The sequence below is a fragment of the Homo sapiens genome, chromosome 11, assembly GCF_000001405.40.
Source record: "Homo sapiens chromosome 11, GRCh38.p14 Primary Assembly".
In the NCBI taxonomy this organism is placed as follows: Eukaryota; Metazoa; Chordata; class Mammalia; order Primates; family Hominidae; genus Homo; species Homo sapiens.
Genome location: NC_000011.10, coordinates 37053383 through 37070534, shown reverse-complemented (window position 1 = coordinate 37070534; position 17152 = coordinate 37053383).

Genomic DNA, 17152 nt, shown 5'->3' with positions numbered 1-17152 from the left:
CAAATGAGAAAAAGCAATGACCCAAATATGTTAAGTGACTAGGTCATGGGCATGCAGCTGATTAGCAGCAAAGATTCAAATTAAATTTGGGTCTCCTAATAATTCATCCAGTCTCTTACCCATTACACCTATTAATAATCCTCCAAAGACCAGAATAAAAATTTATCTATGTATTCAAAATATATTTTGATGGAATAAGAGTCATTCTAACATTAAGTTAAAAGAGAATGAAACAAAAGCATATGCAAACAGCGTACAACCTCAACAAATAAGAAATACGTAAAATGAAAAATGATAATAGTAATAATCTCTAGATGGAGTAATTAGAGATAATTTTTGCTATCTTCTTTATGACTATTTTTTGCAACTTACAATTAGAAAATATCGTATATGTAAGTAATGTCTAAATATTATTATATAGTAGAAGAAAGGGTTACACCACTATATGAGAGGATAATATACAATATACTATTGTATGAAATACATATTACTATATATGTATTACATATACTATATTATGCTTATATTCTTATAAGAAGCTTACATCAGAGTTACCCAAAACATTCTCTGTTTAACCCAAGTCTGTTAGGATGACTCTGAAAAAGAGAACTATGTAGGGAAATTCATTTTGGAAAATGCATACTCTATCTCCAACTTAATGATTCACAACTTATATTAGCATACTAATAGTTTTGAAACATACTGCAGTAAAGAAAATTACTCAAGTTTGTATAAGCCTGCACTTTCCCAGCGTACTTGACCACAATATTCTTTGTAGACTTACTAAATAAGGTTTCATAGAACACATCTGGGGAAACCTCAAATCTCTTTAAAATTCCAGCTCACCCACTCAAAAGAAGGTCAATAATTTAAGGCTCTTAACTGAGCATTTCTTACAAGTATTTTTATGGTACACTGGTAAAATGAACCGTGTGTTTGAAATGTGTAAATAATTGGGCCTATATCTAAAAGGCACATTTTTTAAGTCCTGTAAGTATGTAGTGAAATGGGTAATGAGAAGGTGATTTCTATGAATTATTACTGCAAGTCTTCACATGGTTTTGCCTATTGATTTTAATGTTGAATATGATTAATTTTAATTTTGCTTTTGCCTCTAGGCTTTCTTACAGAACATCAATAATATTATAATTAAGAATATCAATTGAAGTAATACTAGAGCCATGTCACTTTCTTTTGGTCTGGGCTCTACTGCTTAAAATAAGATTAGTTCAATGACTTTATTTTCATACACAGGACATCAAATCAGCATACTGAATTTAACAATCCATACAAATAACTTGAAATGTAACTTGAATGTGCATATCCTCTCCATCTCTCTTCCTTCTAAACACTCGCCCTGCATTTAAACTAGCCCCTCTCGAATCTTTCCATTTACCTCAACGGCACACATTTTTTAGCCTCTTTGTCTCTCTTTTTTTCATTTTTCAGCTATAAAATAAGCAAAACAATGACACCTACCATCATATTTATGTACAAATTGAATAAGAGACTACATGAAGTATGTTTAGAACAGTGCCTGACATATACTATGTTCTCAGTGAGTGTTAGGTATGAATCTGATATGGGACATAATTATTTCTTTCCCTTCGTTCTTTTATGGGCAGCATTGCTTCCTCTCAGTTATGCAACTTGAAAATTGTAGTCACGTTGGGTTTATCTTTTTCTCTTCTCTAACCTACACACACACAGACACACATCATGAAAGATGCATACTATGTGATCTATTTCAAAGTCCTTTGAGTTCCTCCTTTGTAATCACTGTTAAATCTATCCTTTTAATTCCATTTTGTATCCTCACTACTATATCAAGGCTTGTTTCTTTACAATTGGACTAATGTAATGGAGAATTATATTATATCATTATTATATTATATATTAGGCTGTATAGAATTGGCCCTTCATATCCATGGATTCTGCATTTGAAATGAAATGAAATGAAAATGTTTTTTAAAAAATTAAAAAATACAAAAATAAAAAATAATGCAAATAAAAAATACAGTATAACAACTATTTTTGTAGCATTTACATTGTTAGGTATTATGAGTGTACAGGAGGATGTGCAAAGGATATATACAAATACTCCTCCATCTTATGTAACAGACTTGAGGTTCTACAGATTTTGGTATCTACTACGGGTCCTGGTACCAATCCCCCATGGATACTGAGGGCCAACTGTACTTGAAAATGATTTCATCCCCAACATGTTTTATAAACAATACGCTCTAAAAGTCTCCTTTGGTCCAGTCAGTTCTCAGCTCACGAGCTATCAATAACTGTATTTCTAACAGGATAAACTCTAATCACCAATGGTCTTCCAAGACTATTTCAGGCATTCTACAGATGGGCCACAAATTCTATTCCACACTCCTCAAATAAAGTCTCCACTCAAATTTTCATTTGTGCTGTGCCACTGGCATGAAATAATAATCAAATCTCTCTTCTCCATCTTTCTACGTGACATTACCTGGTCTTAAAGACTCAGCTTCAGTAACATTTCTTTATTAATGATCTCTGAATACTTTCATTCTTATGTAAACCTTTTACCATCTTGTAAATCTCTGGCAATTCCTAAAAATTACTTATTTAACATAGATCATATGTTTGGGGGAGAGGTATATGCTATTTTGAATATATGTATTGAATCTCCATATGTTTGGGCAGAAGCGTTCAGGAAAGGCAGGTCCATATCCAGAGTAAGCGTCTATTCTTGTAAGAACAAAGCACTGCCTCTTGCATGATAGACGTGATTCACTGTAATCAACTAGTTTGCTGTTGGATCTACCTGGAGAATTATGCCATAGTGGGGACTCAGGATTGGTATCTGCTGCTGAAAAACTGGGGATTCAACCATGGCTGTTGCCGCTTACATGGTGAGCGAAGTCTTTGCTGCAGAGTTCATGCACTGTAGAGCTCATGACTGCTATCCCTGCCACTGTGGCCATGAGCCTCTTTTCCCCAGCCACCCTTGTCCCCAGAGCTCACACACTGCAGAGCTCATGACTCCTATCCCTGCCACTGTGGCTGTGAGCCTCTTTCCCCAGCCACCCTTGTCCCCAGAGCTCATACACTGCAGAGTTTATGACTCTTATCCCTGCCACTGTGACTGCGAACCTCTTTCCCCAGCCACCCTTGTCATTACCCAATGGGCTTTGTCATGAGCCCACTGGGTAATGACAAAGGTGGCTGGGAAAAGAGCCTGGCTAGTATCCACAGAAAAGGTCATTCTAACCATTCCATTTATAACATTATTCTCTACTAAGTCACCTACTGGTGAATATTCACATGGCACACAAATATTTGAAAACATTTAAATATGTTATTTGCCCAATATGAGAGATCTATCCATATACCTCTTCCTCAGATCTCTATGTCACTAATTCTCTAACCATATTCCTTCCAAGTCCCTGATGATTTCTCATTCCAGAAAAAATAAACAAACAGGTCACTTGTTTGAAGTTAGGCCCACCAGGAAGATTTCTCTTCACCACTGTATCCAGAGATATCTCAGAAAGCAGCTGAAGTTTACAGCTGTCCACTTTAAGTTGGTTTCTATATATCATGCAAAACCACCTGTAAACCAGGCCTGAAATTTCTCTTCCTCATTCAATTGGTAATAGTGAATTCCTCATAAAACCAAAAGTATAGGCTGGGAGAGAGAAGGTAATGTAGCAAGAGTAGGGGCCATAGACATTTGAGATACTTCTCACATAAGTGACTTGTATCTTGAGGGCCTGCTTGAGTCCTGTTTCACATAGGTCACTTTCATCTGATAATGGAGTGCTGTTATATGATCTCAACCTTATGCTCTAATGAATCAGACAGCATCCAGTCCATGACAGGCAGCACAGGTCATATGCTAACTTAATAGGTGAATGGGTGTTATATGATAAATCTGCTTTAACATTTCAATCTCTCTAAGACTTTGGATACCTTCCCCTTCAGCATACCAAGGCCGTCAATCTTTCTGTCAGCCGTTCTCCTGGCCTTCCCCAAAGGCATCTATAATGAGAAGTGCCACTATCAAGCTGGGATTCCAAAATTAAACAGGCATAATTGGATCCTAGGTGTCAGGGAACAGGTGAGAACACTTAATCTCCACAGATAAGATGGAAGTGGACATGATTACCACAATGGGCAATGGAGTCAAAGCAGTAACCAGAACAGTTTGACTCACAGAGACCTATGGCAATGGCTAGTTGATGGTGGTGTCTTTAGAAGAGAAAAAGATGAACAGTCTACTACATTTTTGCTTCATCTGTATAAATGGAAAAGTTCTAAGTCTAGTGAACAGAAGTCCAGCTTGAATCACCAAAATAGTCACAACTCCTCAGTCAATTCCCAGACTTAAGCAAGTTTACAACACTTAACTTTTTGAATGATAAAAGAGCCTGGTGCTTTGAGGAAGGACCTTGTTATATTATCAAAATGAAGTCATGGAGGCCAGGACAAGCCAAGGTGATTCATAGTTGATATACTCTAAAGTGCTAAATGGCCTATAAGTATTTCTAAAAAGGACATAGCATTTATTTTGTTTTAATAATTTTATTACCCATCTTAAAATAATTGCAGAAATTCTTGGGTACTACTACATCAGGCATCAATTATCGGTACTTTGCAAAATACCTCTAAAATAATTTTTAATAAAAGGTTAACCCTACAACAGAAATTCTGTATTTATTCACAAATGAAAATAGCTCTGTGAACCTTGTTATCACCTAGATTAACACAATGCTTCAAGATAACAAAGCCTTCCAGGGTCTGGAGCGCAACATTGAATAGGCGTACAAGATAAAGTCAAATTATGTCATGTGTATACACCTGTGCACATACGCATGGGTATCTGCACACACTGCATCTGCACTTGTTTTTTCTTCTTAGAATCAGATGTTATTTCAAGCACAGGTGATTTAAGCTATGAAAGACCTTGAAATAATTTTGAGGTCCTGAATTTTCTTTGAGGCACTAGACTTTAATGCCTTAAAATAATTTTACATTTTTTACATTTTTTTAATGCAAACTGCTTGCAAAATAAAACTGCCTAATTTACATAATTGAGAAAAGTAGATAAAACTTGGATGGTCTGAGGAAATTTTATTGCACTGAAAGTGTGATTTATATACTACTTTGACTAGTGTATGGTTATCAGCTTAGCCAGCTGAGTGAGAACTATCCAGGTTTCCTAAAGGAGTCCCGAGTCTGCTTCCTCCCTGCTTGAAATGAGACAGAGGGACATATCTGCAGCCCTGGCAAAACTATCATAGTCTCTAACAACTAGTTCTAAAAAGACAAGGACTGATTAAAAGGTCAGTGATGTTATTGGCCATAGAGTAAGAAATATCTTGCTTTCTTATTCATTTACATGGAAACATTTGCACCTTACCATGCATGCATGCACACAGATATATTACTGTACTTGTCTGTCTTCCCTACTAGCCTGTGGGGTAGCATGACCTTCTCCTAGCCCAATTTAAATCCTATGATCCATCATTATCATCACTGCCCTGCATGAACCTTTGGTTTCCTGGCCCTTCTGCATTTGTTGTAATCATTGTTGGCAAAACCACAATGCACCCATGCAGCTGAGTGAACGTGAAGAAAACCATTCCACCACCAGATCGGTTTCACTTTAACTTAATGACAATGAAGCTTAGGGGTCCTTGATGCTGCCAGGTAATTAAACCATTTTTCACTAGTTCATGCATTTTCTCAATCTCCAGTTTAATGCATTTGCCTATTATACTAGTCTGCTTTGCATTACTATAAAGAAATACTTGAGGCTGGATAATTTATTTTTTAAGAGAGATTTATTTGGCTAATGGGTCTGCAGGCTGTACCAGCAGCATGAGGCTGACACCTGCTCAGTTTTCAGTGAGGCCTCAGGCAACTTTTACTCATGGTAGAATGCAAGGATAGCTGGTGTGTCAGATGGTGAAGGAGTGAAGAAAAAGAGGAAGAGGTTTCAGGTTCTTTTTAACAACCAATTCTCTCATGAACTAATAGAAATAAAACTCACTCATTGTCACAGGGAAGGCACAAAGCCATTCATGAGGGATCTGTCCCCATGACCAAACACCTCCTACTCAGCCTCACTCCCAAGATTGGAGGTCACATTTTAGCATGAGATTTAGAGGGGACAAATAACCAAACCATATCACCTCTCTATTCAAACCCTCAACACATCCTCTTCCAAGTTCATTCTCAGCTGACGATCTTATTATCTTCCTTCCTATTTGACTGAAAGAAAAAAAAATATTTCCACCACCACAGCTACTCACTTGAGTTCCCCAAATCTGTATTCCCTGTCATCCCCACAAATGAAACATTAATCCTCTTATCAAAGCTGATGCTTCTGCTTGTGTACAAGTTCCCACCCCACCCACTGATTCAAGGAATCCTCCAGCAATTTTCTTGCTCTTGCCTTTATCGTCAACTTTTCAGAATCTGTGAGATTGTAACTATAAGCTTAGAAACATGCTGCTATTTCTTTTGTCTTAAATTTTTTCTCTGTACCTCTCAAGCAACTGCACAGTGTCTTAGAAATCCTTTCAGGAAAACTTTTTGAAAGAAATGTCTCTACTTGCCTTTCCAATTATTATTCTCTCATTCACTCTCAAGCCCATTTTATTGCAGCTTTCACCTGACTACTTCACTGAAACCGCTCATGTCAATGTCCCCAGTGGTATCCATTTTGATTGGCAGCTCTTGACATGGTCACTCATTCCTTCTTACTTGAAATTCATTCTTCACTGGCTTCCAGAATGCCAAGCTCTTCTGGAATTTTCCTCTTCTCTCACTGGATTATCCTTGTCATTCTCTTTTCCTTATTTCTCCTCTTGTCCTCACCCTCGTAATTTGTGAGTGTCCAAGGGTTTAGTCTGTAGTCTTTATCTCTTCTCTATCTATAGTGTCTTTTTTTGGTGACTCTAGCTTTAAATCCTTGGGGTCATTCTTGATGCCTCAGTCTGTATTAGGTGGATGAGTCAGAAATCTCTTGGCTCTACTTTTTAAATATATGCTCAATCTACTGCCTCTTACTCCTGCACTTGTAACTGTCATTGTCTGAGTCCTCATGATGTCTTGATGTCATGAATCTTACCTGGATTATTGTCAGATTCTTAAATTGCAGCCCTACTTATACTTTTTTCCCTAGAGTCAATTCTCAACACAGTAGCCCAGGGGATCCTGTTAAAACAGAAGTCAGATAAGGTATTTTCTTTGATCAAAACCCTCCAGTGACTCATGATCTCAGAGTAAAACAAAGTCCCTGCAATTACCTAAGAGTCTATTTATGACATCAAATGTCTACACTCATCTCCTACTAACTTTTCCCTTCACTCTCCACTCTAGCCTAGTTTTTTTCAACCATACCAGGAACATTATTGTCTGTGGATATTTGCACTGGCTGTCCCTTGCACCTGAACCATTTTGCTCCCAATACCCTCATTGCTAACTTTTTCACCACCTTCAAATCTTTGCTCAAATTGATCTTTCTCAGTGGGGCCGTCTCTAATCACCCTATTGTAAATTACAACTTAACTCCTCACTGCCCCCATGCACTGTTCACATTCCTGACCCTCCCTACCCTGCCTTAATGTTTATTTCTATAGCACTAATCATGTACTGTTTTTTTTTTTGCCAATTTATGTTATTGTTTAATTGTCTGTCTTCTCACTACAGTTTCAGGCTCAAGGACAGGGATCTTTGTCTGTTTTGTTCACTGTTGCATCTCTAGCACCAAAAACAAGACCTAGAATACACTAAGTCCTTATGTTGCTTGATTATTAAATGAACAAGACAGTAAGAAAACCACTTTCCTGATCTCTTCCTCTTCCCCAGTAGATCACTCTCTTTCTTGGACTGTCTCTGCCCCTACATATGTCTTGCTAGTACATTCCATTCTTAGTGCTTTTATTATCTGTGTAACTGTCTGCCTTCTCCTCCAGAATGTAAGCAGCTACAGGGCGAGAACTGTCACCCATCTCTCTCTCTGCCTTAGTACAGGGCCTGTCACCCATCTGCATTCAATTAACATTTGTGAAAATAAAGTTTCAAGAAGGGATATTTTTTCTTTTAGAAACTTTATAGGTACATGATAGAAAGTTAGCAAAATTCAGAAGAGTAGAGAAAAGGATTAAAACAAAAATTAATACCCTCATAATCAAAGGTCAACATTTTGGTACATAGTCTTCCAATTGCTTTCTCAGGCAAATGTTTTGATATTTGCTTAAAAGACTTTTTATCTAGTTAAATTCATACTTCTACATATTTCTATGTCCTATTTCTTAGCCTCATTATAATAAGGATGAATGTGAAAGTTTAACAGTATTTTTAATGGATTTATTGTATTTCATCAAGTGGGTGAAACAGAATGCTTGCCAACTGTACTGTGATTAAATGGTTATTTCCAGCTTTTTAAACAATTTTTAAAGGGCTCCACTCAGGTTATTTAACAGATAGGCAACTTTCTCAAATATGATGGGCTACACTACAGAGGTGCCAAATTTTCCAGTTAATTAAATAGATGACACTATCCCAGTTTCACAGCATGAGAATATGGATTTAATTTGATGCCAAATGAACCAAGGGAGAAGGTGCCCCCTTCTCTCTAAAACAAATGGAAGTTTTAGTTTAAGGCTAAAGACACCATTTTTACAATTTTCACATTTCTTTTAGTAAATTTCCATCTGCCATCCAAAAAGACCTCAAATATTTGCAAAGGCACAGGTTGCTTTACATTTAAGAAAATAAGCTTCTAAGGGCCTTTGTTCTCCTCTGCCAGGTCTTTCTAAGCCAGGAGGAGTAAGTGACTCCTAACCTTTACTTTTTGACACAAGAGTCAGATTTATAACAGATTCAGACTCTTGGGGTAGCTGCTAACTGAAGTTCCTGCAGAAATAGTGCTGACACACCTCAGTGCCCGAGGCTGTTTCATCTACAGGTCTGGGTGAGAAAGAGTGAGCTAGGTGGAATTTCTTTTCTTTTTTATTATCCTTAGATTTTAATCCTACTAATTCTGCAACAGGAAGCTCAAATTAAAGTGCAAATTCAGTATTGTATTGTGATACTTTTGCTTAATTTAACCTTCCTACAGACATATTAAACAACGAATATACAATTCCACTTTACACTTTCAAAAACAATTGTTCCAATTAGCTAATACAATATAAATTTAATTACTGAATTGAAAACATGCATATAGGTTTGTCTACTAAATCACTGGGTTGTTTTCATGAGTGAAACCTAAGAAAGGTTGTTTTGATTTCCTGGAAATGAGATATTCATGATCTTTTATTCTCATCTTCTAGGAGACTGCTAAGAACTGATATTTTAATTTATGACTAGAATTACAAGAAACATTACCAGGTTTTAGGAGTTTTGACACAATATACAAAGCAGCTACAAAACTGAAGATGTTAGGAAACTAAAGTTTTGTTCTAGTTCCAAGTGACTTATCTTTATTTTTTAATGTAAAATCGCATAATGTTAATAGCTACCATTTATTTAAACTTTTCTACGTATCTAGTACCATGATAAGCACTTTTAAAATATTGTTATTTAATTTCCCTAAAAACTCTGTGAGGTAGGTATTATTTCATCCATTTTACAGATCAAAAAATTATGACAAAAAATTTAACCTGCCCAAAATTACACTGATAAAAAATGGTAAAATTATTAAACTTAGAGCCTACATAGTGACAATGTTCTTCCCCTCATTTCTGTCTCTGTCATTCTTTATCTTGTTTCACCCTTTTGTACTTTTTTCTGAATATATATCTCTTTATGACACCTCTTAACAATTCCTTCTCTTTTACACTCTTCTTTTTTTATGCTGACCATAATGCAGAGCAAAAATTTATTTTAATTGTAACTTTTGTTATTTTTGTGTTTTATAGTCTAACTTTAAACATGTGATAGCAATGTTTTAAAATAGCTAAAAAACTTGAAATCAGTTGTTTTCTTTATTGAAAGAGAACATTTAATTTTATTTCTCAACTTATCCACTCTTAAAATCTCTGTCTTTTGATCACTGTATTTAAAACATTGACATTTAAAGGGATTGTTAATATAGTTGAATTAACATCTACTTATTTGCAATTGTTTTATATTAGTTGCATTTGTTCTCCGTTTCTTTCTCTCCCCTGCCTCCACCCATCTGCCTTCTCTGGTTTGGTTTGATTCCATTTTTCTCAGCATAACAATCACATTTTTAAAAAATTGTTAACAGTTGTCCTAAAGTTAAGAGTATGCATTTTTTAACTAATCTAAGTGCCTTTTTTCAAATAATATTATACTGCTTCACATGCAGTGCAGGTACCTTATAACAGAATATCTCCAATCCCTCCCTCTGTTCCTTGCGACATTGCTGTTGTTCATTTCCTTACCTATATGCTATACATTGTATTAAATTTTATTATTACTTAAAATACACTGTAATATTTTAGAATTAATTTTTAAAAGATTTTATTTTTATCTTTACTTATTCCTTATGTGATGCTTTTCCTTTCCTTATATAGATCCAAGTTTCTGACTTGTATAATTTTCTTTCTCTCTGAGAACTTTCTTTAAAAACATTTCTAACAGGGCAGATCTGTGGGCAATGAAATCCTTTCACTTTAGTTTGAGAAAGAACTTCTTCTTTACCTTTGAAAGATAAGCTCACTAGATATAGAATTCTAGGTTTCTTTTTAACACTGCATATTTTACTCCACTCTCCTTGCTTTCATAATTTTTGACGAGAAGACTGATATAATTCTTTTTATTTTGTTTTGTTTTAATCCAGCTTTTATTGGTGTGGTTCACATATTCAAACACTGAATGTTTAAAATCATTTTTGGAATATCTAGTGGATATATGTGTCGTTGAGTATGTGCATGTAGTATGTGCATGTATGTTTGTGTGTAGATATGTCTACACATGCCTGGATATACATGCATGTAGGTCGGTGTGTATGTGTGCATGTAGGTTGGTGTGTATGTGTGCATGTGTCTATATATGTGTGAACATGTGTGTATGTATATGTTACCAGGTATGTTTGTGGTTTGTGTTTATATGTGTATATTCATGTGCATGTGTACATATGTGTGTATTATGTGCATATGATACTATTTGTTCTGCAATCTATGCCCAAACATCACAAATGTGACAAATGTCACGGTGACCACAGGAAAGAAGAGTTCATGCCAGTTACATTTTCAGAAAAAAGAAAAAACTCACCTTTCTGCACAGGGTCAATTGGAAGACACACAGTTACAAAACAAGTGATCTGGTTTGTACATTGACTAACAATATTCATTTATTGACAGCTTCTATTAAATTGATTGTCAGTTTTTCTTGGTCTGATATCAGTTCAGTGATGTCAGAAAGACAATTTCTGTTTTAAAACTCCTACTAATTTGAACAGCATTTTTTGTTAGGTTTGAAAAATATATTTTTATACCCATGCATTTTATTAGTATACTGACTTCCTATTTTTTCCATAATTATTATTTTAATTTTCTTTTCATTCTCTTTTTTTAATTTTTATTTGAGGTTCAGGGTTACATGTGCAGGTTTGTTATATAGGTAAATTGCAGATCATGGAGGTTTGATGTAGAGATTGTCACCAAGGTGAAATATCGTACCCAAATGGCAGTTTTTCTATCCTCTCCCTTGTCCCACTTTCCAACCTCAAGTGGGCCCCAGTGTCTACTGTTCCCTTTTTTGTGCCCATGTGTTCTCAATTTTAGCTCCCACTTATAAGTAAGAACATGAGGTATTTGGTTTTCTGTTCCTGTGTTAGTTCACTTAGGATAATAGCCTCCAGCTCCATCCATGTTGCTGCAAAGGACATAATCTCATTCTTTTTATGGCTGCATAGTATTCTACGATGTGTATGTACCACATTTTCTTTATCCAGTCTACTGTTGATGGGCATCTACATTGACTCCACACCTTTGCTGATGTGAATAATGCTGCAATGAACATACATGTGCATGTATCTTTATGGTAAAATGATTTATATTATTTTGGGTATATATCCCAAAATGGCATTTCTGGGTTGAACACTAATTCTAAGTTCTTTGAGGAATCACCAAACTGTCTTCCTCAATGACTGAACCAATTTACATGAGTTCAGTGTATAAGCATTCCCATTCCAGCAGTGTATAAGGGTTCCCTTTTCTCCACAGCCTCGCCAGTATCTGTTATTTCTTGACTTTTCAGTAATAGCCATCTTGACTGGAGTGAGATGGTATCGCACTGTGGTTTTCATTTGCATTTCTCTAATGATTAGTGATGTTCAGTATTTTTTCATATGTTTGTTGACTGTGTGTATGTCTTCTTTCGAAAACTATCTGTTCTTGTCATTTACCCACTTTATAATGGGGTTATTTGTTTTCTGCTTGTTAATTTGTTTAAGGGTTGTTTGGTTCCTGATTGTTAATTTGTTTAAGTTCCTTATAGATTCTGGATATTAGTCCTTTGTCAGATGCATAGTTTGTGAATATTTTCTCCCTTTCTGTAGGCTGTTTACTCTGTTGACAGTTTCTTTTGCTGTGCAGAAGCGCTTAAGTTTAATTAGATCCTATTTGTCAATTTTGTTTTTGTTGCAATTGCTTTTGACATCTTCATCATAAAATCTTTACCAGGGCCTATGACTATCCAAATAGGAATACAGGAAGTCAATCTATCCCTGTTTACTGACAATATGATTCTATACCTAGAAAAAAACCCATAGTGTCCTCCCCAAAGCCCCTTGAGCTGATAACTTCAGCAAAGTTTCAGGATTAAAAAAAAAAATCAATGTACAGAAATCAGTAGCATTCCTATAAACCAACAACATCCAAGGCCAAGAAAGAACACAATTCCATTCACAATAGCCATGAAAAGAATAAAATACCTAGAAATACAGCTAACAGAGAGGTGAAAGATCTCTACATCAAGAATTACAAAACACTGCTCAAAGAAATCAGGGATGACACAAACTAATGGAAAAACATTCCATGCTCATGGATAGGAAGAATCAATATCATTAAAATGACCATACTGTCCAAAGCAATTTATATATTCAATGCTATTCCTATCAAACTAGCAATAACATTCTTCACAGAATTAGAAAAAACCTATTTTAAAATTTACGTAGAACAAAAAAAACAGCCCAAATAGTCAAGGCAATCCTAAGCAAAAACAACAAAGCTAAAGGCATCATATTACCCAACTTCAAACTATACTACAAGGTTGCAGTAACCAAAACAGCATGGTACTGGTACAAAAACAGATACATAGACCAGTGGAACACCATAGAGTACACAGAAATAATGCCACAAAATCATCTGGTCTTTGACAAAATTGACAAACACAAGCAAGGAGGAATGGACTCCCTATTCAACAAATGGTACTGGGATAACTGGCTAGCCATATGCAGAAGATTGAAATGAACCCCTTCCTTAGACCAAGCACAAACATCAATTCAAGGTGGATTAAAGGTTTAAGTGTAAAACCCAAACTATTAAAAACTCTGGAAGATAACCTAGGAAATACCATTCTGGACAAAGTCTAGTATATTTCTTATCCTTGTAAAGATTTTTATTTTGCCCTTCTGGCTTCTTTCAAGATTTTTTATTTTTCTTCCCTTTTTACTTTGAGCACGCTTCCTCAGAGAGTCTGCAGATGGCAGCTTTTTCAGCTATAATCCATTGCTATTATACTGCAGCCTGTCATGCTAGTAAAGTGTGAGGGAGAAGAAGTGTTTTATAATTTATGATTCAAGCCCAGTCTTTTAGTATGCCTGTGCCTTCAGCAAGTGTCCTTCACAAGTCCCACCACTCTTAGGTGAGAAAAAAAAACTAGAGGGGGAGCAATGTCCTTAACCTGAGGTGGGATAATGCCTGGTAACGTCTGCTAATGGAGTATAGGTCATTGTTGAGGAAATATTCTGGGTTATTTAATAATAAGTACTCTTCCCCTTCCCCTGCCAGAGTTATGAAGGGATTTCTCAGATCTTCACAAGAGTCTTGTATTACTCCGTTTTCACATTGCTGATGAAGACATATCCAAGATTGAGTAATTTAGATAGAAAAAGAGGTTTAATGAACTCACAGTTCCATGTGGCTGCGGAGGCCTCACAATCACGGCAGAAGGCAAAAGGCACATCTTACATGATGACAGGCAAGAGAGAATGAGGGCCAAGGGAAAGGAGAAACCCCTCATAAAACCATCAGATCTCATGAGACTTCATCACTACTAGGAGAACAGTATGAGAGAAACCGCCCCCATGATTCAATTATCTCCCACTGGGTCCCTCCCACAACACGTGGGAATTATGAGAGCTACAATTCAAGATGAGATTTGGGTGGGGACACAGCCAAAACATATCAAGCCTAGTAGGGTTCCTTGATGTAAATTCTAGGACAGTGTGCCCCCTGCCAATACCATGACCCCCAAGAGTATTATACTCGCATGCTAGTCCACACACAGCCCCCAGCAATTCATCAATATTATCATTTAAGTGTTTCTATCAGCTTCTGCTCCAGGAAAACAGATCTCACCTGTGACTATGGATGCATCTGTTTCTTTAGATTTTCAGGTGGTAGTATGACCTGTAACCTCAGTTATCTAATGGGTGAAAGAAAGCTGTTGATTTTAAACTTTTCCAGCCTTTTCTCATAAAGATAATGAGAGCAATGATTTCCAGACTCTTTAAATCAATGGATTGGAACTAAAACCAGAAGTCCTTCATAAAATAAATATTTTTTATTGAACTAAACATTTTAAAATTGAAATAGAGATAAATAGAAGAATTTTTTTTATTTTTATTCCACTTAACTGTCATTTAACAACACTCAGAAATCTATCACAAATAAATCAAATATCCAAGGAGAGCTGCACCTAAACCACCTGGAATCTACATAGCCATCAGCTATGGAATCTTTATAGCTTCTATGAACGAGATAAATATAGAACACTGATTGTATTAAATATTACATCTTTTCATGACTCTAGGTTATTTTGCTAATAGAGGCATTTAGACACATTTTATTGGAAAACATTGTACTAACCTCTCTTAAGGTTATCCTCAAAGTGATATATCCAAAGCATGCCCTCCTCTTGACAATCTACTTTAGGCACATTATTTTATCTTCATTGTTGATAAAAAGCAGTTGGCTATAATAATAAAATTGGGATATCTTTGAATTTCCTAATTTTCCTTGTTGAACATTTCAAGATATAAGCTACTATGGAAACTTCTCTGGACTGAATTCTGATCAACAATAAACAGTTAACTAGGAAGTAGAACTTATGTGAACTGTATAGTTAAGTTGTACTCTGCATTTTAAAGTCAGAATGGAGAAGGTTCTGCAGAAACAGATGTTTATATAGGACTACAGAAAAAAATAAATTTTTAAAGGTTTAAACAAGGAGTGGGCTAGATTATATGGTATATTCAAATGGGGCTGACGGCTTAACAGAATTGAGACACTCTAAGAAGGCAAGAGAACAATTTAGAAAATGGCCAGCAAGGCTATAAAAGAACATGACTTCATGTTTTATGAAAAATATCTAAGAAACAAAGATTGTTTAACCTAGAGAAAAGGAACTTGGGCATTAGGAGAGCTGCTTTAAATATTAAAGACAAGGACTGAAGTGTAAGAGAGAGCTTTTTCACACTTAGTATGGCCCCATATGATTACAAGTGATAACAATAGTACCAATACTTAGAAATTACAGGAGTTATAGGAAGTTGTTAAGACATCCTAATAATCAGAAAAGTTCAAAGATGGAATAGGCTCCCTCTGCCTTATCATCAGAGGTATTAAATCAAGGCAAATAATTACATGTCCTTTGTTTTGGAGTTACTTTAAATCCTTCCTGAAAAAGGAAGGCAAAGCAATAATAAATATTATAAACATAATTTTGTCTTTGTATCCCTAATCACTAGCAAGTTGCCTAGAACATGGTAGGTGCCAAAATCATATTTATTGAACCAGCTCAATTAATAGACAAAAAACTACCTGAAGAAGGGGAGCAAAGTTGCAGAGGGGATTCAGGTTTTGAAAGGATGGTTAGATTGATGAACTTGGAATCTTTTTCCTCTGACCAAAAGATTCCATGATTGTATATGTTTATGTAAATATTCTTCTAGTAATAAAATAACAGTGGGCACTCTGTATTTCTGTCAGACAGTTTTAAGTTAACCAAGCTCTTTTATATACATATACCACTTTATCCCCCATACTAACACTTAAAGACATAAAAGGTGAGGCAGCCACAGCCAGACCATTTGGTTATTTTGTCAATACTCTATTTGATAAACAGTAGAGGCAGGATTTGGACCTTTGATTCAAAGGATATTCAACTTCCTCTTTATGAGATGAAATTCAGAATAATTAAAATAGTCGCTAAAACTTACTGAAAATGTAAATGTGACTGACCTGTCTAGGTCTTTTGCATGTATTCTGTGAGTTGATCCTCATATAACTACATCACAAAGATAACAGTATTATCCCAGTTTTACCAATGAAGCCAAGAAAATAGAGAAAGAGTAATTTGCACAAAATTACATAATTTAATGTCAGAGTAGAGATTCCAACTCAAGGCAGTCTGACATTAGGAACTGTGCTCTTAAACACTACATTATCTTAAGCTGCTGTGACAATCTCTGGTATATCTCCCATCAAAGTCACTGTTTAACTGATTAACCAGAATACTAAGTCTCCAGATCTCAATATGGACCTAGTGTAATCACTGCACATATATTGGGTGGCATATGGGCATCATTGCTTATTCAGTGGTAATAGTACTGTGTGATTCCATTATTCACTGTTTCACTTTTTACTTGTCTTTCCTCAGCTTTTCAAAATGTGGAGCCTACCACAAACTCTTTGTGCAAAGTAATTTACAAGTTCAATCTGCCTAGTCCATTTAGGTACCAGATATTACCGCATCAGCTCTACTGGATCTTGAAACCAACTCTAGTTAATGGAGGCAATGTTACTGCCATATATTATCAAATCTAATATATGAGAATGGTAACTAAAATAACATGGAGAAAACGAGAAGCTGTTCAGTTATATCTCGGCATTCACAGCTTTCTTTCCTTTCCCTTGTACCTGAAGTAAAGAAATCCTTCTAAAATTAAAATCCTGGAAAGAGA